Source organism: Homo sapiens, chromosome 8, assembly GCF_000001405.40.
Source record: "Homo sapiens chromosome 8, GRCh38.p14 Primary Assembly".
NCBI classification, from domain to species: domain Eukaryota; kingdom Metazoa; phylum Chordata; class Mammalia; order Primates; family Hominidae; genus Homo; species Homo sapiens.
Window position 1 is genome coordinate 95,802,092 of NC_000008.11, and position 10,597 is coordinate 95,812,688.

At 39.5% G+C, this 10,597-nt stretch overlaps 1 long non-coding RNA gene across 9 annotated transcripts in view; it reads left to right on the top strand.

Annotated features, from left to right (window-relative positions):
• CFAP418-AS1 (CFAP418 antisense RNA 1) overlaps positions 1–8,052 on the top strand; it is a 541,308-nt gene extending 533,256 nt beyond the window's left edge. For all 9 annotated transcript variants that reach the window (NR_038201.1, NR_038203.1, NR_038208.1 and 6 more), the window contains one exon: positions 7,928–8,052. This is a non-coding gene — a long non-coding RNA (CFAP418 antisense RNA 1). The remainder of the gene's footprint in view (positions 1–7,927) is intronic.
• The last annotated feature ends 2,545 nt before the right edge of the window (positions 8,053–10,597 follow it).

The following is a 10,597-nucleotide window of genomic DNA, read 5'->3' on the forward strand; positions in this document are numbered from 1 at the left end:
TACGAATGAGTCATAGTTGTCAAGAATGAATGTGGGTGTCATCAACAGTGATCTGTGGTCTATCATTTCATAAATAGATTGTTCCAAAAGTACTTTAGGCACAACTGAGCACAGATAGTCTTTGGATGGCTTTAATCCAAGCCCATTTCAATATGCCTCTTTTTATTGTCCACACTTCTTTCTACTACCACTAACTTAAATAATTCATATAATCAGCTAGAAGAGTTTTCAATGAAAACTCATCTTTGAACACAAGAAATAAGGACTGAGAAGTGGTGAACAACTTGCAACTGAGGTATTCTGAAAATAGTCCTAACATAATGTCCCCCAGGTGTAGCCATATATGGTAATTTGGTAAATCAACAATGAAGTCTTATGCAACAGTGAGAATCTAAGTATCAAGCACTAGATGAGGTACTGGGCAAGAGAAATACAAAAGAGAACACTGCTTTACCCCATCCCCAAGGAGATCTCAGGGACAGAAATGTCAGCATCTACCTCAATACAATGACAGCTGAGTGACTATCTCAAGTGAGAACTGAAGAACGTATCACAGGAGAGCTGATCTTGGAGAAAGAAGAGGAGTTGGCTTATTAGAAAAGAGAGCCTGGTCGCGGGTGCCTGTAATCCCAGCTACTCGGGAGGCTGAGACAGGAGAAGTGATTGAACTCATGAGGCTGAGGTTGCAGTTAGCCAAGATCACACCATTGCACTCCAGCCTGGGTGACAAGAGCAAAACTCCATCTCAAAAAAAAAAAAAAAAGAGAGAAACGAAAAGAAAAAAGAAAAGAAAAGAAAAAGAAAAGAAGAGGACATAGTCATTGAGAGAACAATGGCTCTGTGGTCAAAGGCATGCCAATGTGAAAATCATGACACATTCAGAAGATCGTATAGCTGGATATGTCTGGAGAGGGTCATGGGCGGGCCACGGCACAAAATGAATTTCTTGTCAAGACACTATAAAAACCTACACAGATAAATCAGGGGAGATTTGTTATAGGGAATAATAATATTTCACTGAACTCAAGGCTAGGAGGTACAAGTAGGCTGAGGAACAGGAACAGTATTGGAAACTGAAGCTCTCTACCTTTGTCTTTGTCTTCCTCTTTCTGGGCCATGAGGTCACTTATGGCTGCAGCTCAGTTCACTGGTCAACAGTTCTGAATTGTTCAGTCATTCATCATTCAGCAAGAATGCATGTGCCCATCCTCTGTGCTCAGTGTGCTCTTTATTAACTACATTGTGATGGAAAATGGATCAGGGCTGGTTTCATGGGCAGAGACTTACACAGTCAAATGGTCCCACATTTGGTTTAACGCACTGCTACCACTATCTTGCAATTCTGAATAATTTCATGAAACTTGTGTTTTGTAAGAAAGTCTAATGGGATGAGGGAGCATGCACATGAGCAGAGGAAATGTCCACAGTGCCTTCCCATTCACATATAGCATTTGTGATGACACCCCATGAGCACAGAAGTTGGCGGCCCACAATATTCAAGCATTCAGTGAAACTAAAAGCAAGTACAAGGCAATTGTGTTAGGGCTACTACTGAGAAAGGTGGGGAGGAGGCAGGTGCTGACATCCTAGAGGCCATGCTTTTTTGTTTGAAAGAGAACAAGAACCAAGGGACCCTATTGCATTCTTTCTTATTCATGTTGTTTCCCTGTATTAGCCAACTACTTTAATGCTGAAATGCTAGGAGAGAAAATGTTAATACCATAGTTTCTTTTCCTTTTAATTTTTCCTTACCCATAAGTAAACTGAAGGTAAAGAGTGTTGGTAGAATGTATCATGATGTGAATTAAAAACTGTTGAGTTTCATGTAGCATTTCCACTGTTCTGGTAAGAGTGAAATAGATATGCATTTTTGAGCTACAAATATTAATTGTGTAATTTTGGTAATTGTTTTGTTTTATTTTGTTTTTTTCTCTCAACTTTTTTTAGATTCAGGGAGTACATGTGCAGGTTTGTTACATGGATAAATTGAATGTCGCTGAGGTTTGGTGTACAAATGATCTCATCACCCAGGCAGATAGCATAGCACCTGATAGATATGTTTAGCTCCCACTTATAAGAGAGAACATGCAGTATTTGGTTTTATATTTCTGCATTAGTTCAGTTAGGATAATGGCCTCCAGATGCATCCATGTTGCTGCAAAGGACATAATTTCATGCCTTTTTATGGCTGTGTAGCATTCCATGGTGTACATGAACCATATTTTCTTTATCCAGTCCACCATTGATGGGCATCTAGGTTGACTTCATGTCTTTGCTATTGTGAATATTGTTGCAATGAACATATGAGTGTATGTGTCATTTTGGTAGAACAATCTATTTTCCTTTGGGTATATACCCAGTAGTTGGATTGCTGGGTCAAATGTTAGTTTTTAAGTTATTTGAGGAATCTCCACACTGCTTTCCACAGTGGCTGAAGTAATTTAGATTCCCACCAGCAGTGTGTAAGTGTTCCCTCTTCTCCAGGACCCAATTTTAAAAATGGGCAAAGGGCATAAACAGAAACTTCTCAAAAGAAGAAATACATGTGGCCAACAAATATATGAAAAAATACTCATAATCACTAATCATTAGAGAAATGCAAATCAAAACCACAATGAGATACCTTCTCACACCAGTCAGAATGGCTGTTATTAAAAAGTCAAAAAGCAACAGATGTTGGTGAGGTTGCAGAGAAATTTTCATGATTTCTGTGTAAGAGTTAAATGCTGTTATATTTGCACTTAAAACTGACATTACACATTGTAAAGATAAACAGTAAACCATGCTAATAATTTTAAATTTCCATTTTTAACTTAGAATATCATTAAATAGCAAATAAAGAAACACAATGGCAAGTTGAGAGACCGTTCAAGAAAGGAAAATATCACACTTTAGTGCCCTTAGCAGTGCTTTTTCCCCTTCTTTTTTTGAACAAGGCACCCTACATTATTTTGCACTGGGCCCCACAAATTGTGTAGCCAGCCCTGACCTGGAGAGGAGTGGGTGAACAAAGCAAACAGAGTCCCTGTCACCATGGAGCTTACTTTCCATTGGGGAGAACAATAAAAATAAATAAACAAGAAACCTCATGGTCTCAGAACTGTTTTGAGGAAATAAGCAGAGTCACATGATTAGGCAAATCAAGGGAGGGAGATCTACTTGGGTGGCAGAGAAAGTCTCTCCAAGGAAGTGATCTTTGAGCTGAGACCTGAAGTAGGGACTGTCCATCAACTTTGCTGAAGTGAATTCTCCCCCTCCATTCTGATACCCTCTATTCCACACTCTGCAGCCAGTCAGACTGAGCCTGTTTCCCTTGCACAGTTTCAAAGATCCAACCAGGTCTTCCCCAGGCTTCCACATTTTTATCCACTCCACCTCGGTTCCTGGGTGACCATCCTCTGGGCTCCCTTGTCAAAAGAAGTTCCAGAGACTTTTCTTGTCAAAGCTATCAGTAGCCCAGAACAGGTTGAAAAGAATAACATGAAGTGCCCTGTTTCTTCCTGAAAGCTTTGAAGAGCCCAGAAACAGTCTCTGGAGTAAAAATTCCCTTTTTTCCCAGTAACTCCTGGGAAAAGCCACCTGACCAAACCTCCTGCCTTTGTGAGTCACGGCAAAGAAAGTCACCTCAGAAGGAAGGGTGATTTGAATGAGCCCAGATGTTCCACTTAAAACCACAACCAGGCATAGCATTTGAGCAATTTTTATTTGCAGTCATTTCTTTTCATGTCATGCAAATGATCAAAAGTGGTCTAGGGAGACAGCATGTCTTAAAAGATGACAATTGCAAATGGCAGCAAATAGCAAATGCAATAATAACTTGTCATGTTTAACACAAAGTTACAGCAAAGGCAGGCTGTTCAGCAGTAAGCAGATGTGGACTAAGTAAAAGATAGTTTGCAGATAGCTAAATGCAGGCAGGTCACAAAGCATTTTGATAAAGGATTATAAAACTACTACCCATGGTAGAACATATATAGTAAATATAATATTTCAAGAAGGATTTAGAAATACACAAGATTTACTACTGGAGAGTTAAAAAAAAGCACAGTTGATGTCTCAATCATAGAAGTTAAAAGTTTTGCCAAGTGAAGCAGAATATGATTATGTAGAGGATTTTAAACTAGGATTTACTATTTTTTTTCCAAAAAGAAGCCTGCACTTGGCAGCTCTCTCAATTCCAGTGCACAGAAGTTAGTAAACTGATGAAATAGCAGGGGATTCTTCTAGAGAGGCTAATTGCTACATCAATTTCTGCCAACACCATTTGAAAATAAACCCCTCTGTCCTTGTTGTGCTGTTTCTGGAAAAAAGACTGGAGTTGACAATTAAAATGTCAACAAGTAAGATGTAAATTTAGGCATCTGGGCATAGTATGTTTTCACCAAATATTTGTTGAATTAATGAAAAGATAGAGAGAACCTAGAAGTTTAGGCTGTAGGACAGTCTTCTGGCCTGTGCCATATATAGGGAGCTATAAATGCTTTTCAAGAGCATAAGCATAGATTCTTACACAATCCTGTACATATACATGTGAAATTACCTGGCATACCTGAGTTGGGAAGTCCTAACTCATGCCAATAAGGAATTTGAGAAGTTTGGTCAAAACATGGAAAAGATGAGTTCACTTGCCAATGGGACACCTTTGGTATGAAAGAGGACAAGGTGGCTTTGAGAGGTGACTGCAGTCAGTAGCATAGGTTGCATGGAGGCTGCCATTGCCTCTTCCTGAAAAAGTTGGGACTGTGACCTCTGTGGGGAGGTCCATGTGTGATGCAATGCAGCAAATGATTCCAACTGTGATGGTTCTTCAAGCCAGTCCCCACAGCCATCATCAGTTTATTAGATATTTTGAAGCACATAAATCAGTGTAGGCAGATGCTGTTTATTTTTAAGCCCTCAGATGGGGAAACCTCACGAGATTCACTGAGCTGCCTCCTCAGATCAAGAACTTTGGGGATGAAGGACTGAGAAACCAACATTGTTGGAGTGCTTTTTGTTCAATGACGATGCTTTCTCATAGTTGTGACAAAACATGGATGTATACTGAATTCAAAATTTCAAGAGAAAAGCAAAGTGCAGAGCATCACCGATAATTTCAGAAGTGCAGCTGTCTGTGTTCAAACTGGATAGATACCTTTTGAAGAAGGCAACCATCATGCAATAAAAATTTTAAAGGATTATAGAAGTATTGATGAAAACAGAATTTTCATCAATTCCAGAAGTAAATTATAGTCTTTGTTGGATTGGAATCACAAGTTCAAAGAATGAACAAGGATTTACTTTGAAAAAGTAGCACTATTTAAGAGCCTCCCATACACCTAAAAGCAATGCAACTTCCACCAACAGCTTTGTTGATAAGTACATGAATCCAGTAACTGATATCCCTACTATGTGTCAAATTCTGGAAAATGTTTAGATTCCCCTGGGTCTGTTAAAATGGATTGTGATTTTTATGCTTCTGAAAATCCAAGCAGTAAGTCACCATTGATGCTACAAACCTGGAGTCTGAATCAGGATGTGGGTCCTAATTAAATATTAGAAATTATTCATTATGTTAAACATCAACATTCTCATCAACGTGCTCAAAATGAATCAAATATATAATTCGGCACATATGCTGTATGCATGCAGTAATAAAATTGATTAAAACTTGTTATTTGGGGGCTGGGTGCAGTTGCTCACTCCTGTAATCCCAGCACTTTGGGAGGCCGAGGCGGGCATATTGCTTGAGCTCAGGAGTTCAGGACCAGCCTGGGTAACACTGAAACTCCTGGCTACTTGGAAGGCTGAGGTGGGAGGATTCCTTGAGCCCAGGAGGTCGAGGCTGCAGTGAGCCATGATGGTGCCACTGCACTCCAGCCTGGGACACAGAACAAGACCCTATCTCAAAAAACAAAACAAAACAAGTTTGTTATTGGGAGGGACTTTTAAAAATTATTATTGTTGTTACTGTTTTAAGTCTTTCATAATTTTGAATCACCAGTGAGTTTTTCCATTTTTCTTACCTTTACCTCTTAGGATTTCTAATTATGTGGCTTACTACCAAAAATAAGTAAATAAACAAATAATGCATCTGGGTTTTCCAGCTGTAGGGCATAATATTTGCTGAAAGTGAACTCTGCCTTGGAATTTAGTCCTCACTCCCTGAAGCCACTTTGTACTCCCTCTGGGCAGGCAGTAAGATCCATCTGTTTATCTTCAGCCTTGTCCTCACTGGCAGGCCCACTCACACACTGGTAAAGAGATGCCTGTCACCTTGCATTTCATGGAGTCCCATGGACTTTGTGACTCAGACATTTATGGTCTATTCTCTTCCATGCTGTCTGGGGCCGGGATACTGGGGAGTGACATAAATGGTTAGTCATCAGCTGTTCTGAGAAGACTTCCAAGAAAAACTGCTACAAAACTTTTAGCAAAACTGAGTTTTAAAGATCTAGAATGTTGTCCATCAACTGGTCTAGAATGGAGACCATAAACTGATGGCCAAATCATCCCACAGGCATGTTTTGTTTGGCCACACTAGGGTTGGCTTGTGGAGTGCTTAAAACGTACTTAATTAGTTCCCAACATTGAAAAATCGGGAGATTTCACGTAAAAAATCCAGATTTCTGGCATTACTTGACCTAGTCACATGGAGTCTGCATTCCCACCTGGCAATCATCTGCTTGCAGCTAGAGGGCAGTTGCCCCATCTAGATGGGGCAAGCCAACTCCAGTTCTCATCCCTACCATTCTCCACCAGGCCTGCTTCACCTGTCTCCATAAAATGCCTGGCTTTGGTAAGCCTTTGAAGTTGGGATCTTTACTTTAGAACTACACTGTGCTAAGAAGTGTAGGGAAAAACAGGAAAAGGATAAAGCATTTGTAAGTCTTCCTGCGTTATCCTCTGGTTAGAGAAAACAATGATACAACAATAAACAATAATAGTAATAAAGCTAATTTATGGGTCAATTAAGGTCTTCATTGTGAGGTATCAAGCACAGAAGTGGTCCTGACCTACTGTGTTAGTCTGTTTGTGTGGCTATAAAGGAATACCTGAAGCTGAGTAATTTATAAATAAAAGAGGTTTAATTGGCTCATGGCTCTTCAGACTGTACTGGAAGCATAGTGCCAGCATCTGCTTCTGGTGAGGGCCTCAGGAAACTTACACTTTCATGCTGGAAAGTGAAGGGGTAGCCAGTGCATCACATGGCAAGAGCTGCAGCAAGAGAGAGTGGGGGAGGTGCCACATACTTTTAAACAAACACATCTTGCATGACCTCAGAACAAGAACTCACTCATCACCAAGGGCATAGCACTAAAACATGCATGAGTGATCTGCCTCCGTGATGCAAAATACCTACCAAATCTCACCTCCAACACTGGGGATTATGTTTCAACATGAGATTCAGAGAGAACAAATATCCAAATGATATCACTTACAATACCACTAGTACCTGGCTCATCCATAGAAGTGATGGCCAGGAACAGCCAGTTTGCAGGTCCATTCATGAGACCAGTTGAAGAGTTCAAAAAGAATTTGTCTAGTTAGGCCATGTGGGTTCCTCTACCATGGAGTTCAGAGATTTATCATGCATTTATCCACTCATTTTTTCTTTTAACAAATGTCTAGGAACTGCTGCGGAGACCTTGGGTTCACCATTCAGGTACCTCTTCAAGTTAATCTACATGGGGAGCCTTGTGACTACAGCCCCAGAAGCCGCCCCTTTGGGTCCACTATGTACCCAGCTTTCTCAGGCTCACTCTCAGCTACTATCTGAGCATGGTGGGGGGCCTGGAACCAGGCCATTCCTGTCCAACATGGGGCTTTTTTAATGGGCAACCTTTGAATGGGCTCTCCTTTTCAGCCTGACCAAGACTTTCTCAGAACTACACTGTGGTCTGAGGTTCTTCTTAATTAAACCTCCCTTTTCTCTCTTCTTTCACAGGTTTAAGACCTGTGACACAGACTGAAGCTCTCCTGGCATACTCTGAAGCTCTCCTGGCACCCTCCCCTTTATGCTTCACAGGTGTTTCTCCTAATAAATTTCTTGTATGTCTCATCCCATCTGGGAATCTGCTTCTCAGAAGACTCAAACTAACATATCTGCCCACTATGTATCAGGCACTGTGCTAGGTGCTGGAGACCTAAAAATGGATAAAACAGACAAGAGCCCTTCATTCATGGTGCTTGCATCATAGTGGGGGTAAATATTCCATAAGCAAGAGAATAAATAGATAAGATAAATTTAAAAACTAGAGAATGACTTGTTATAAATTGATTGGTAATCAGGGAAGGTCTTCTGAGGAGATGACACTTAAGCTGACACCTGAATGAGAAGAAGGGGCTGGTCAACTGAAGACCTAGATGAGAGTATTGTAGGCAGAGGGAAGAGCAAGGACCACAGGTTGAGAAAGAAACTAGTTTGACATATTTGATGGGGGAAAAGCCAGTTTGAAGAATAATAAAAAAGGGAATGAATGGAATAAACAAGGACATTAAAGAACTAGAGAGGAGCCTGATCATCACAGTAAGGCATTTAGAATAGGTTAGGGAGAAGACCATTCTCTATCAGGGTAGAACTGAAAAGGCTACGTCTGCTGCTAAATGCTGCTATAAAAAGACAAGGGCTTTCATATACTACAGATGCAATCTTTTGGATCCACTTATATTGAGCAGACTTCGTGGACCCTCCTAAGAAAGTAGGCACCACAAAAATATTACATCTATACAAAATGCAGGGCTCCAAGCCATAGATGTATATATCACATTGTGTGTGTGTGTGTGTGTGTGTGTGTGTGTGTGTGTGTGTGTGTGTGTGTCTGTAAAGCCAGCCAGTTTGTAAGCTGAACATGACTCCCACATGCTTTCAGAGAGAAGAGAAAAGAGAGAGGACCGTGTACTGGAATAAGCCCTAAGAACTTCTTGGAAGAAGGGGAAGTTAGCTGATCAAAATTATGTTGCTTTCTAGAAAAGAAGTAAAAAGCCAGGCAGTTTCTTTTGCTAGAACTGTCTGGGTAGATTTCCATTCTAAGAAAATTACAACAATGTATAGTTTTAAATAGCTAGAAGGAGAATACTGAATGTTCCCAACACAAAGAAGTGATAAATATTTGAAATGACGGATATATTCATAGTCCTTATCTGATTGCTATACACAATATGTATTGAAACATCATTATGTACCCCATGAATATGTGCAATTATTATAATTCAATTTAAAAAATAAAATTAAACAAAGAAAGCAAGGGGTCAACAGCATCCATTGTAAATGTGCTACCTCTCCACCTGTCTCATTTATGAAGTTGGGGGAGCTCCTGAACAGATAACGAAGTGCAATGAAATTTGGAGAAGAAATCTAGTACCTAGGTCTAGAGAGCAAATGTGCAACTTCTTTGGAGAATATGTTTCAAATAAAGCTTCAAGAGCTGTTCCTAGTAGCATATGGCTGTTGCTCTTGGTGTGGAGGTTCATGGAGTAATGTTTCTTGATCAGAGGATCTTGCAGGTTATTGTTCACTTCTACTGCTGCCTCTACCCAATGTATAGTTTGAGTCCTAAGAGGCTTGGCCTTTTTACTTTGCCTTCCACCCCAATAGGGACAGCACAGTGAGAAACAGATCTACAATGGCTCCGCAGACCTTTCCTTTGGAGAGATGCTGGGCAGCTGCACACACTAAGAAAGTTTCCTGAAATAGAATTGCATTATCTGAGGCCTGGAAAATGTGTTGGAAAAGCTCACTTAGCTATGGGAAAGCCGATGAAAGACCTGTCTGGTTTCTGAGCATTGTCTGGGGAGCTCAAATTCTATAAATGGGCCCCCAAGGTATCCATCATTTAGCCCTTGCCAAGGCTGGGTCAACATGCTGGCAAAGAACTGTCTGAACATTGAAAAATCCTCCAACCTATTATCTCCTGAGAGAAAGCTAGTTATTTGAAATACAAGTTGGATTTTAAAATTTCTATCAGCATGTTTTTAAATTAATCTTTTGTTAATGTAAACATACAGAAAATTACATGCATTATAAGTGAACAGATCAATGAATTTTCAAAAAGTGAATATAACTTTATAGCCACATCAGATCAAGAAACAGACATTACCAGCACCCCAGGAGTCTTTCTACTATTTCCTTCCTGAATCCAGAATAGGGTAACTACTATTCTGGATTGTAATACAGATAAGTTAACTTTGCCTGTTTTGTATTTTATGCAAATAAAGTCATACCATATACAGTACTGATCTCAAGGAAGAAGCTTTTAGCATTTTAATATTAAATACAATAACATGTAATTTTTTGGTAGATTTTTAAAATCGAATTTAGAAAGTTCCCTTCTATTTCTAGTTTGTTACAAATTTTCATCATGAATATATGTTGAATTTTGTCAAATGCTTTATTTTATTGAGATAATCTGCTGTTTTCTTCTGTTAATATGGTGAATCACATTGATTCATTTTTCTAATGTTGAATCAACATTTCATACCTAGAATAAAATATATTGGTCATATTGTATTTTCCTTTTTATATAACACTTGTTTGCACTTTCCAAAATTTTGTTTAAAAATTTGCATTTATGTTTATAAGAGAGTTGATCTGTCATTTTAATAGTAAATTTTATTA